This window comes from Homo sapiens, chromosome 15 (assembly GCF_000001405.40).
Source record: "Homo sapiens chromosome 15, GRCh38.p14 Primary Assembly".
Classification (NCBI taxonomy): Eukaryota; Metazoa; Chordata; class Mammalia; order Primates; family Hominidae; genus Homo; species Homo sapiens.
Genome location: NC_000015.10, coordinates 62,723,583 through 62,738,027, shown reverse-complemented (window position 1 = coordinate 62,738,027; position 14,445 = coordinate 62,723,583). Strand labels below are relative to the sequence as shown.

General features: G+C 41.3%; 1 protein-coding gene across 2 annotated transcripts in view; it reads right to left on the bottom strand.

Moving 5' to 3' along the window:
- Nucleotides 1-14,445, bottom strand: part of TLN2 (talin 2) — a 454,082-nt gene that overhangs the window by 106,604 nt on the left and 333,033 nt on the right. For both annotated transcript variants that reach the window (NM_015059.3, NM_001394547.1), the window contains 3 exons: nt 12,924-13,052; nt 10,839-10,941; nt 942-1,150 (listed from right to left, as the gene is read on the bottom strand). In NM_015059.3, the coding sequence (NP_055874.2) occupies nt 942-1,150; nt 10,839-10,941; nt 12,924-13,052 (441 nt within the window). The remainder of the gene's footprint in view (nt 1-941; nt 1,151-10,838; nt 10,942-12,923; nt 13,053-14,445) is intronic.

Below are 14,445 nucleotides of genomic sequence, written 5' to 3'. Positions count from 1 at the left end.
TTATTGGGGTTAATATTCTGTCTCAGCAAAGGGTCCGACACAGTGACACAGCACATCCCACCTGCTCCCCAAAGCCAGGGTAAGCCACAGTTTTGTGATTCAAACATAGAACTCTCCAGCATGAGGTCAGGTTCTAAAGCAAAGATTTCTTATACCAAGAGAAATGAAAATATCTCCCTTCTTGGGAGCCCTGCTGAGGTCGCCGAGGTGGAAGGAGACCTTGAGTTTTTTGGATCACAATTAGAAGGCCTGTGGTTAATTTCTGCTCAGTGACTCATGGGGCCATCCTCCCAAACCTCACTCTGCCCAAGGGCAAGTGGGGTGCTCTGAGCACAACCTGGAGCTGCCCTCACGTTGCCTAGAAATGTTTGGTGGCTCCCTGTTTGCATTCTTTGGTATCCTCAATTAAAAGGAAGGTCTTTGGAGGTGGGGAGTGTCATTCCCTCTCATCTAAGCCATCTCCTTCCCAGCCCCACGTCCAGGACTCTGCCTGGATGCTCCTTAGCCAACTGGTTCCATCAGGCAGTCGAAGAATCATTTAAAGAAGTAATAGAGCGCCAGGGTTGAAAACTTCTGAGTGGCCAGCCCTAGCGGATCTACCTCATTCCCTGGCAAGGAACAGCAATATAGCTCAGCACACATAGGCCCAAAACAAGCATGTTATGTCCTGGCTCTGAAACTCCCAAGGACAGAATTCAAAGGCCCCCATGCCCTCTGCTGACTGTGAATTAAGCAGATCACACATTACTGTGGAGAATACTAGGCAAGACTTACAAAAGTGAGTATCATGTATGGCCAGCATCGTTATGACCTTTGGAAGTTTCTGAAAACATCTGCTGTGTCAGTGTTCATATCAGGGAAAAGTGCCCAGGAGACAGCCCGACCACATGTCCACGTTAATGATGACCATGACAACCACAATTTCTCATTCCTAGCCTCACCTGAGCCAGTCTTTGTTGACGCTCTGCATCTCCAGGTGCAATCAGGGCCTGCTTGGCCTCTTGAATGAGCATGGCGGAGCCCTCCATCACGTCTCGAGCAGAATCTAACATGGCATGGGCGGCCGCGGGGTCGGTTGTCGATGCAGCCACTCCACGGGCGGCCTGGGCCAGTGTTTTCAGAGCTTGGGCCGTCTCTCTAGCAGCCACCCCTGGGGGAAAAAGTCCATCAGATTTCCAATTAGACTCCATCTAAATGGCACATTTTACTTAGGAATAAGCTTCTGGACCAGGGCCTGGCACAGAAGGGGAGCTGCAGATTAGTCTTCATAAAATTTGAATTGCTGTGTTTCTCAAAGAAGTAGCTGGCTTCAGAAACATATCCCCCTGGCTCTGGGCCAAACCAAGAGACACATTAATAACAAATGCAATACTAAAGACTTCTTCCCCCTGACTTCCCTTGCTCCCACTGCCCCACTGTCCCTAGACCTAGAACACCAAGTGCATGGCAGTGAGTACACAGATGGAATTACCTGCACATGTTTGCGGGAGGCCATTTAAAAGCACCTTTCTTCTCAATTGCCTTTCTGGGGCATAACTTACAGTACACTACAGTGAACAAGTCTACATGTGCAGCTCCGTGAATTGGTACATATGGATACAGCCACATATCCACCATCAGTTGTGCCAGTCAATGCTCCCTTCATACCAGAAGTAATCACCATTCTAACGTCTATTACCTTAGACTACTTTTACTGTTTTTTTTTTTTTTTTGAGACAGAGTCTCTGTCGCCCAGGCTGGAGTGCAGTGGCGCGATCTTGGCTCACTGCAAGCTCTGCCTCCCAGGTTCACGCCATTCTCCTGCCTCAGCCTCCCAAGTATCTGGGACTACAGATGCCCATCACCACGCCCGGCTAATTTTTTTGTATTTTCTTTTTTTAGTAGAGACGGGGTTTCACTGTGTTAGCCAGGATGGTCTCGATCTCCTGACCTCATGATCTGCCCACCTCGGCCTCCCAAAGTGCTGGGATTACAGGCGTCAGCCACTGCGCCCAGCCTTTTACCTGTTCTTAAACTTCATGTTAACAGAACCACATATATATATTCTTTTGTGTCTGCTTTCTTTCTCTGACCATAATGCTGTGAGATTCAGCTAAGTTGTGATGTCTGGCAGTTCATTCTTTTTTCTTGCTATATAGTATTCCACTATACAAATATGCCAATATTTGTTGACCCATTCTCCTGTTGATGGACTTTTGGGTTGTTTCCTGTTTGGGGCTGTTATAAATGAATCTAACAAGAAAGTTCTTATATATATATTCAAGTGGCCATATGGGATCACTTCTCTTAGATATAAACCTAGGAGGTGAACTGCTAGGTCATACAGTAAGTATATATTTAGCTTTAGAAGATACTACAAAAACAGTTTTCCAAAATGACTTTACCATTACACATTCCACTGGCAATCTGTAAGAACTGCAGTTGCTCTACATCCTAGCCAACACCAGGTAGCATCGGATTTTAATTTAATCATTCTGATGCATGTGTAGCTGCATCTCAATGAGGTTTTAACTTTTATGTCCTTAATGGGTAATGATGTTGAGCATCTTTGCATGTACTTAATGGCCATTTAGATATCCTCTTTTGTGAAGTGCCTCCTTCTCTTTAAATTTGCATCTAAACAGATGATGGGATTTGGTGATAAACGATGAATATAAACTAGTCCTTTAAAGCTGTAGCACCACCTCATGCGGAATAAACGTGAGTCTTACTACCTGGCACACAGTCCTTGGCACACCCAAGAAGAGGATGAAGACTGGAGATGCCAGGACACATATAACGCCTGAGAATCGCTGAACAGCTTACCCTAGAGCTCATCTCATGAAATTTCACAGATGAAGCCTGGTGCTGAGACATATCTTGCCCACAAACACTTCCAGAGGTGGCAAGAGAGCTAGATCTGAGCTTTCCTCACTTTGAGGTCAAATATTCTTTATAGTGCTCTTTGCAGTAGAGAACTATGAGCCCTTTCTGTTAGAACATATAAGATCTACGTGAAAAATACGCAAATCAGTGTCTCTCTCGCACTGAACTTTTGAAATGACTGTTTTCTACAGGACTGAGCTGGAAGGTCTCTCGGCACCAGTGAGTGTAGTCTTTACCAGCCACTGCTTCAGCTGAGTCAGCACCTCCACAGCAGGTGGTCTTTTCCTCACTGAGGGTGAGGCTCTGAGATACAATAGAGTGTGAAAGGCCTCAGATCCATAAAACCAGATGGGTTTGCAGTGCTGCAGACTTGCTAATATGTAAATATTTAGTAAATCACACAGCTGGGATATAAAACTACGATCTAATCAAGGTAAATGACAAAGCTGCCAATCTATCATTTATCCCATGGCACTTCTGAGTACAGCTGGCAGAATAAAAGAATTTTAAACTAAGTGCTTTTTATGGCAGAGGAGAAGCCCAGAAGAGAAAGCACAAAGGTGAACAAAGCTAAGGTGAAGGAGAGAAACAATCTGAGGAGAATGGTCATTCCATTTTACGCTTAAGCTTTTGGCACAGGGTTGAAGGATGCTGTTGCTCAGAAAAGCGCCAGATGTAGTTAAGACCTCATCTGGCTCTGGCTCTGCTGCTGATTAGTTGTGTGGTCTAGACTGCTGCCTTTTCCCTCTGGGCCTCCCTTTCTCACGGGTTTTAGGAGAGGCTGAGTTCCTAGCTCTGACCATTGCAGATTCTAGGCTGTGATTTCTAGACCTCTCCTCTTGTCTTCCCATTTGTCATATGGACTCTTGAATCCACTTCTATTTGAGTCATATGTAAGTTTGGAGGAGTAAATCATTTATCATATGTAATTAGAAAAGACATGTTTATGCAAAACCCATTTAGTGAAAAACCTTTCATAGACTCATACAATTTAAAAAAACGCAGAAATCCGAAGAGCTAAATTCCAAGAACAACCTGGTCCATCCCATGTGTTTTCTGCTAAGGACTCACTGTGAAATCTCAAAGCACATCAAGGATCTTCTTGAGAGAGATGAGGTTTCTGGAAACAGGAAGCCCATACCATCAAAAGGACGAAAGAAGGCCACGAGAGGTCAGAAAGCCCAGTGAACACCCATGGCGGTGCATGGCTGAACGCACAGCAACATTCTCAATGGTCATCACTACAGGATCAGATCCCCAAGCAAACAACACCCACCGAATGGAACTGTTCCTGTAGTCAAAGTGTGCACCACAATACCAGAACCACCAGTGTGAAATACTAAAGCAGATTTCTGTTTCAATAACCACAGTCCTTTGAAAACACAGATTACTTTCACAGTATTCTTGCCATCTGGATCTTAAATGATACTTAGTAACAGAGTCTTATACAGGCATATCAAGTGATATCAAATATAGTAGCATTCTACATAATGGTTGCTATTCTTCACCAGAATTCATGTGGATTGTGTATCCAGACAGTATTGGGCCACATAGCAACCTCAGAAGACAAAGACCAGGTATGACACAAATCTTTTATCTGTTCCAAAGTATTTACAAAGGGTTATGTGTAATTGTAATCAGCTATACAGAAATATATTTTGAAGACTGCATTGGCCAAACAGAAACACACTTGCATTAGAATACAGCCCAGTGGCAGCTCACATGCAACTTCTGAAAACCCCACACACCTCAATTATGGACAAGGAAACTGAGACCCATGGAGAAGTTTTCCACACACGCTCTCTCTTTCCTTGCTTCCCATCCATTCTCCAACCTTCCTGAAACTGCCTTCAACAAGGAGAATAGTGATCTCCTTATTCCTAAAGCTAATGGATGCTTAAGTCTCCCATTTGACATGACTTTCTGGGCAGCAACTGTGTCTATGGCTCTAGAGACATCCCTCTCTCCTGGTTTCCCTGCCCTCTCCACAGCTCCATGTTCTTCTTTCTTTCAAAGATTTCCATTGCCAGTTTCCTCCCTAACCAGCCAGGTTCTTCAGGATTACAACTGATAAGCTGTCTCTCACTCTACCACTCCCTGTTGGCAAAATTATCTACTTCCAATCATTATCATTTTACCAATAATTTTCAAATCTGTATCATCCAGCCCAGCCTTCTCTACTGAGTTTCAGAGCCAAAGATTTAGCTGCCTAATGATGCTCTCACTGCATATTCTCCAAGCACTTCAAATGGAATATATCTAGTGCCGAACCCAGCATTCCTGAGCTTCACCTCCCCTGCTCCTACCAATGGTCCTGTGTTCCCACCAGTGATTCATACAACTCTTCACTCAGCTATAAGGCCAAACACTTGGAACCGTTCATGTTACCATCTCCACCAACTTCTAACCAGTCACCAAGAACGATTGGGTTTTTGCTTCTTCAATCGACCACTTCGTCTCCACTGTAGGACACTACCATCTCTTACCTGGATTAATGCAACAGCCTGCTTGCCTACCACTTTGTTTCCGTCCAATCCATTCTACACACAGGAGGAAGGGCGACCTATACAAAAAGCAATCTGAACTGTGTCCACAGATGAAAAACATGTTCACATATTCTTCAATTAAAGTATAACTCATTTATTTTAGCTTATGAGGCCCTTTAGGATCTGACCCTGGCCTAACTTTTCAGCGTTATCCTCTTATTTCTCACTTACTCTTTGCCTATTACTTTCACCATCTTCAGTTCCTTCCATCATCCTTCTCTCATCTTTAAGGCATCATACATGCAGTGCTCACTTATGCAACTGCCTTCCAGTGCCTGCCAAAATTAAATGGGGCTACTTCTAGGCTGTTTTTCAGACACCAACTAGACAGCATGTCTTCCTGGGTGTTATTGGTATGAGATGACGCAACATGTAAAGTAGTCTTTTCTCTACTAAATATGCATTTCATCATCTACACAACAGCTGGCAAGATTTCGGGAAAGTGTAGACATTTTTGAAATTTAAATCTCTCATATTACCCTATGATTTTCTAAGAATTTTATCATACCTTTCCTCCTCCTAGAATGCTAAAGGAGTCCTAAACAATCCACAAAGCCCTCGCTAAGTGTCAATTCTGCTCTGAAAATTTCCCCTACCTTCCCATTGGGATCAAATTTTGCATTCTTATTATTGCAGGTACTTTATATACTGTACTATAACTTTGTGTTCCTATTGTGCTCATTAAAATTTTTATTTTCAAAGTAATAAATGTATACAGTTTTTACAAATCAAAGAGGATTTTGCTTGTAGTGATGGCAGAATAACTTACTGAAAATCAGCCTTCCCACACAGAAACTCTGGAAAACATATATAAAACATTTATTTGAAGACACTGGAGAAATACCAAGGCACCAAGGTAAAGAGGGCCAAGATCTTGAAATGAAGGAGTGAGTCCAATGTTTAGGATTGCTTTTTCTCTAAAGGCATTTCCTAATTTGTAACCTATTGCCAAGAAGCTGAGTAAAGTTTCTTGATATCTCATGGGGCTAGGAAGAGAAAAAGCATAGTTCTGAGCCCAAAAAAACAGAATAGCCCTGGTAAACAGCAACCCTTTCAGACGGGACACACAAGGGCTACACCCTCAAAGGTAAAATGGAAACAGACCACACAATTTCCAATCAGCTCAGTTCCTGCATTTTTATTGTGATCTGTCCTTATCTTATCCACCTGCCAGAAGCGAAGAGTAATCCTATGTAGGGAAAAAAAACATAATTCAGGGCCTCAAACTATCTCTACAATTTAAAACAGCAATGTTCAGTCTTAAAGAAAAAAAAAGAAAACACCAGGAGACAAAACCAATGGCTGAAAAACCAAGAGGTGGGAAAAAAAAAAAATCCCTGACAATAAAAACAGGCTACAGGCTATCCAGATATTAGGATACTGGATTTCAACTTTAAATAACTGTGATAAATATGTTGAAGAAATTAGATGACAATATACAGAATTCCAGCAGAGACACAAACTATAAGTAAATAATCAAATGGATATTCTAAAACTGAAAAATATGATACTTACAATTAAAATCTCAACTGAAGGGGTTGAAAGCAGAATAGACACCGCTAAAGAGAGGAAAAGTGAACTGGAAGATAGATCAAAAGCGGATACTGAGATTAAAGCATGAAAAGAAAAACTATGAAGAAGAAAAGGGTACAGAAGATGTAGGAAACACTGTGAAATGATTTAGCATAAGAGAAAGGAAATGGGACAGAAGCAATATTTGAAGAAACAAAGGTTGATTTTTTGAAAACTGGCCCAGGACAACAAATCCCATTTTCAACGAGCACTTGCAACCCAAAGGAGGATAAATATGCAGGGAAACTCCTCCAGGCACACTGCTGGAAAATCGAAGACTAAAAAAACTCAAAAAGCAAGGAAAGGGGAAAAATAAAACCGCATTACCTTCATAGCTTCACAACAGAAATAAAGGAAGCCAGCAACAATGGAATAACATCTCCAAAGTGCTGGAAGAAAACAACTGCCAACCTAAAATTGTGTAAGTGATATTATCCACCCAAAATAAAAGCTAAACAAAAGCATCTTTAGACAAACCAAAATGGAAAGAACTTGTCACCAGTAGATTAATACTAAGGAAAATAATGAAGGGAGTTCTTCAGGTAGAAGAGAAATGATCCCTAATGAAAGCTCCTGGAGACGCAGAAGGAACGAAGGGTGATGGAAAGGGCAACTATGGGAGGAAATCCAAATGAATAAGGACTATCTGGAACAACACTGAGACTGTATTGCGGAGATGAAAATATACCTAGAATTAAAACATAAGGCTGGGTGCGGTGGCTCACACCTGTAATCCCAGCACTTTGGGAGGCTGAGGAGGGCAGATTACGAGGTCAAAAGATCAAGACCATCCTGGCCAACACGGTGAAACCCCGTCTCTACTAAAAATACAAAAATTAGCTGGGTGTGGTGGCACACACCTATAGTCCCAGCCACTTAGGAGGCTGAGGCAGGAGGCTGAGGCAGGAGAATTGCTTGAACCCAGGAAGCAGAGGTTGCAGTGAGCCAAGATAGTGCCACTGCACTCCAGCCTGACAACAGCATGAGACTCCATTTCAAAAAAAAAAAAAAAAAAGACAACAATAAAATAATTGAAAGAAAGGTAAATGAAGTTAACATGTCTCAAGATTCTTGCATTATGCAGGAAGAGGTAAACAGAGTAACTTAGATTTAAAGAAATCATAAAAGAATAGTAAATGAATGTACAACTAACTAATCAAGAGGAAGGAAATAGAATTTGAAAATGCATATGAATCTGAAAGGAGGCAAGCAAAGGGGAAAAAAAGGAACTTACCATAGGCAGGCACAGAGAAAACAAATAGTAAGATGATAGACTCGAACCCCAACATATCAGTAATTACACTACCTATAAATACACAAAATACTCCAATTGAAAGAAAAAGATTGTTACACCACCAAATACTCTCTGCCCTCCCCAAAGAACAATGACAAACTCAGAGGATACCCAATCCATTAAATATAAGCATGAAGAAAAATTGAAAGTAAAAGAATGAAAAAAGGTATGTCATGCACACATTAACCAAAACAGAGACTTCTATGCAGAAAACCATAAAACTGTACTGAGAGAAAAGAAGACCTAAATAAATGGATATTCACATATTAGAAGACTCAATGATATAAAGAAGTCAATTCTCCCCAAATTGATTCAATGTTATTCCAATAGTGGTTTAAAAATACTGGCTTAAGAAAACAGTATTTTTTATTATTATTTTGTAGGAATTGACAAGCTGATTTAGAATTTATGTGGAAATGGAAAAGGCCAAGAATAATCAACACTAACTTGAGGAAAACCAACAAAGTTGAGGATGTGCATTACCAAACATTAAGACTTAGTATAAAACTGCAATATAGTAATTAGGGAAGCATAGTACTAATATAAGAACAGGCAATTAAATCGATGGAAAAGAACAAATACCACAAACTGGTCCAAACATACATGTTCACTTATGTTACAACAGAGTGACACTAAAGATCATTGGGAAAAAGTAGCCTTTTCAATCAGTGGTGCTGGGTCAAATGGATATCTATGTGGAAAAACAATTAAATGAATCCTACTGCACATAAATAAAACTCATTCCAGATAGATCAAAGTTCTAAACATGAAAATCTAACACTGAAGCTCTAGAATACGACAGAGGAGAACATCTGCATTAATCTTAGGCAAAAGTTTTAAAATAGGGCACAAAAAGTACTAACCATAAAGAAAAAAAGTATAAATTGGAATATATTAAAATAAAACCTTTTGTTCATCAAAAGGCACTTTAAGAGACTAAAAATGCAAATCACAATATACAAGAAATACATGTAAGTAACAAAGAACTCCTATAAATGAGGAAAAGACAATAACCCAATTTTCAAATAATGGGCAAAAGACACAAACACACTTCACAAAATGGCCAATAAACCTATGAAAAGATCCTCGATGGCACTGTTCATCAGGGAAATGCAAATTAAAATCATAATGTGATACTATTACACACAAACCAAAAGGGCTAAAGTTAAAAGACTGACGATACAAAGTGGTGACAAGGATAGAGAACAACTGGAGCTTCCATACACTGCTGAAAGAAATGTACTGAACACATGGGGAAGCTCTGACCTAGGAAATCCACTCCTAGGTACACAGCTAGAAAATGCTTACTATGTTCACTAAACAACGTGGACCGGACTTGTTCCTGGCAGTGTCTTTTGGCAACAACCCAAATGCCCAAGAACAGCATAAAGAATAGCTATATTCATGTAATATAATACCATAGAGATAATGGAAATGCAAGAAGCACTGTATGTACCACAGATGAGTCTCACTAACATAGTGCTGAGAAAAAGCAGCTAGGCACGAGGGGCACATATTGTATTATTCCATTTACTTACAGCTCAAAAACAGGCAAAATTAATCTATGCTGTTAAAAGCCATGAGCGTTTAACTCTGGGGAAGGAGAGTGGGGATACAGTGATTGGGAGGGGGCACAAGGGAGCATCCGGGAGGCTGAAGATGTTTTTGATTCCTCGATCCTGGTAGTGGCTTCTTGGGTGCTTTCAATTTGTGAGACCTTATGAAGGTATCCATTTAGGATTTATGCTGTCTTCTGTGCATATATTATACTTTGATAATAATGCATATTTCAAAAAGAAGTCAAGCGTGTTACTGTATAACAAAAGCAATGATCCATAACCCACTCCTCCCCTCTTCACCCTCACTCCTAGAGCCACTCAATTCCTTAAGCTTTCCTTCCATACATATTTTTAAGAAATGTGCTCATACTGAAACCTCTTGGTTTTAAAATTTGAGATATGTATAGACTTCCTACCACAATAACATTTCCTCATTGTATAACTTTTCTGCTTTTCTTAGAGTTGATGATTGTGCAATCTGTTCCTTATAGAGATGTTTAAGGAGTCTCCTACCTTCAGGGGTACCTGGCCTCACCCCACAGGGTTCTGCAGCACAAATCAGCTTGCTTCCTTGCTGGTTCCCCTACCCCTCAGCTTTCTGTTCACTCGCCTCTACCTATTAGCACGCATCTGTCTCCTTCCATTTTCACACATTCCATTGACATCTTATTTGTTGTCATCTCTTATTCTCTTTAACCTTTTTTTATGCCTTTACTTTAGCGGGATTCCAGGATTCACAGATAGACCTGGAAGTCTACAATTACTATTTCTTTATAGTCTAATGGGGGTAATCCATAAATGGTTTGGGGGAATCACAATTTATTAGTCTTTGTGTGCTTAGTATCAAGCCCGGTAACAAGCACATGGTGCTTGAAAAATATACGGTGAACTGCTGGGAGAAAAATGTCACGTGTATTGTCAAAGGAATGAACTCCTCCTCCTCCCCCACTACACCCAGTGGCCTGAAGCTGGCCACAGTGGCATGAAGGGCGTGGGTCTCACCTGTGTAGTGTTCGTTGCCTTGAGCAGCACAGGTCAGCAGCTGTGCCATGGAGGAGCCCACCGCCTTGGATGTGCTTCCCAGGTCCTGAGCACATTTTTCCAGCTACAAGAATATTCAAGGAGGGAAAGAACGTAGAAGAAAAGGAACATCTGCTGAGGTCTTAAAATAATTTAGAAAAATCATGCAGATCAAACTTTGAGCCCTAGCTCTTTCCCACCAATGGCACTAAGCCGCAGCAGGGTGGTACAGGAGAAGGAGCCCGAGCTTTAGAACAAACAAATCTGGGTGCAAATCCCTGCCCCATGCCCCCTCCCCTCCCAATTACTAGCATGAGACTGAGTAAATTACTGAACCTCTCCAAGCCTCAGTTTCCTGAGGAGATCATAATACCTAGGCTCAGAAGGTTTTCAGAGAATTAATGTAGGCTCTCAACAAATGGTAGCTATTAGTATTATGCCTTTAGAAGCTAATTTAGAAAGTCTGCAACAAATCCTTAGTGAGAATTAATTATGGCTGGGCAGGAAGTGGGCAGACATCCAGCTGCACCACCTTCCTGGCATGTGGGACCATTAACATTGTTCAATTTGATCATTATACTTTGAGGAGTTCCAACTGAAAGGAAATGCAATAGAAATAGAGGGTTGGAGTGGTAAATGAGATTATGAAAATGGGCACAGTGCTTGCTTCCCATGAACAGCATGTTATTTTGCTTTGTAAACTGAATAAAAAATTCAGGGAACGAAGTCAGTAAAGGCCTAGGGTATGGATAATTATTTGATTACTAGATGAGGTTTTGGAAGAGAATTTCCAGGTATACTGCGAGAGTACAAAAAGGCATCAGAAAACAAATGCATTTTAAACCTTGCAACATGTTTTCCAAGAGAGGCAATGCTTTCCAATAAAAATAGAGCCTGGTCCATTATAGCAAACAATATGTTACAACACAATACAGACTTTATTAGAGCAATTTCTTTAAAAATTCATGATGTTTTCCTGCATTCTAACTGACCAGTCTATGCTCTACGTAAAGATGGAATTACATGTCATGCCAGCCTCTCTTGCACTCCCTGGGGTATAGAACTTTGCAAAGAGACTTCCGGACCACTTTGCAAAGCTGTGGGCCCAGGAGGCAATCCCAACGCTGTCATTAACTGGGTGACCTCAGTTAAGTGACTTAACCTCTCTGAGCCTGAGTTTCTTCTTTTTTACTATTAGGGGAACTTGATTTAACACATATTTTCTGAGTGCTTTCTATGTACCAGGCATTGTTCTACGCCTGAAGTCCCCTTTACATTCTAAAAGTCTTCAGTTCGTTCAAAGAGCCAGAAGCTCTCAAAAGCACAGGTTTTAGAGTCCTGCAAATCTGAATTCAAACCGTGGTTTGGCTCCTAACTGGCAGATAACATTGGACAGAACGGTGACAAACTCTGTGCCTCTGTGTTTCTCATCTGTAAACGGGGTTAATAAAACTTGCTCATGAAAGTTACTATCACGATAAACTACACTGTGTGTGTACAGTGCTTCACAGGTGCTTAATACATGGTGGTATTTTACTAGCAATGTTCAGTCATGTAAGGAAGTACATACAAATGAGGAGGACTGGTAAAGTTTTAGCCAACAAAACTCTGACATAAGCATCAGGAGGTGTGGTAATACGACCACAGTAGACCTCTAGTGCCATTATTCCATTTGCAGTATGGCTTTCCTGTATGGACGCACTTTGCCGTTGTCCATCCTAGTGCTTTGCATTAAGTAAATGTTTTTTTAAAATGACTGCTGATAATCTTTTCTATGTGCATCATGATAGCCTCATTGCTACCCACTTCGTAAATAAAATACTTCAGACATAGAGGAGATATGGGACGCGTGCACAGCTAGTTGATGATACAGCTGAGTGTAGAATCCAGCGCTCATAACTCCAAACCTAGTTCCTCCAGCTGCCCTGGGCATTCTTTTCAGAAAAAGACCACAGGATTAGAAGCTTCTCAACATGCCGCAACTTTAGCAAACACCCTAACAACAAACAATTTAATAACGTCATAACAAAAGGTACACCCGCACCCCAGCTGGCTCTAACAGCTCACCGTTTCCCCTGGAAGTGGCTTCAGCTGGCTCTCCACGGCTGCCATCTTGGCATCCTGCAGTTCATTCTTAAGCGTCTGCACCGTATTCAGAGCTGAATCGATTTCCATCGGACCACAAGCTTCATGGGCCTGCCAACAGAGTTGGAAATATGTATACCCAGTCTGCTTGGGAAAAGTGTCCCCAACACTTTTGCAACTTATAAAATGCCCTTCTGGATATACCCAGTGATTCTCCAAATCCAGCAGGAGGAGCAAGGAAAGCAAGTATTTTTTCTGAGAGAACAAAATCATCCTCAGTTAGAACCTTACTCTTAACTTCCTTAAACCATCAATTAGGTATGTCTCATAACTGGATATAGTAAGAGTTCCGGAAGTGACCCTTATCTGAAATGCACTTGCCTCTTAGACTCAGTGGATCATTTATTCACTGTGGCTGAGTTCTAGAGGTAGGGCACCTAGCACAGCCATGTGTGTACACAGAGTCATGGGAAAGATGCAGTGAATGAACAAATGAACACACCCAGGACTCTGGGGGCAAGTCTATGTCAACTTTATTGCTTCTCTTTACAAATTTCTAGATTATAAATCATTACTTTTCTGTACTGAAGATTACAAAATATTTTTCCCTTAGTAATTTATGAAAACTACTTTATCTCTTGGTCACGTATAACACTGATCTCCAAATGCTTTGATAACATCCCTCAATATACACATGCACATATAATTATATAAACGTGTAATTATTGATCAGTATACTAAATACTGGTACATTTTCATTTCTTTCCATTTTTAGATGATAGTAATAACAGCAGAAATAAATACTAATTGATTTCTATGTGCCACTATTACTCAAGAAGGAAACTGAGGCACAGAGAGGTTAACTAACTTGTCTAGGTCACCAAATTAGTCAATGACAGTCTGATTCCAGAGCCTGCACTCTTTTTTCTATTTTTTTGGGAGACAGAGTCTCACTCTGTTGCCCAGGTTGGAGTGCAGTGGCATGCTCTTGGCACACTGCAACCTTTGTCTCCTGGGTTCAAGTGATTCTCATGCCTCAGCCTCCTGAGCAGCTGGAACTACAGGCATGCACCACCAACCTGGCTAATTTTTGTATTTTTATTAGAGATGGGGTTTCACCATGTTGGTCAGGCTGGTCTTGAACTCCTGGACTCAAGCAATCCACCCACCTTGGCCTCCCAAAGTGCTGGGATTAGAGCCTGAACTCTTAATCCTTATGCTGCATATTAAAAAATATTGCCGGGTGCAGTGGCTCACGCCTGTAATCCTAACACTTTGGGAGGCTCAAGTGGGAGGATTACTTGAGCTCAGGAGTTCAAGACCAGCCTGGGCAAGATGATGAAATCTCATCTCTAAAAAAAAACACAAACAAAAAAAATTAATTGGATGTGGTGGCACATGACAGTGGTCCAGCTACTCAAGTGGCTGAGGTGGGAGACTGCTTAAGTTCAGCAGATTGAGGTTACAGTGAGCCATGACTGCACCACTGTACTCCAGTCTGTGC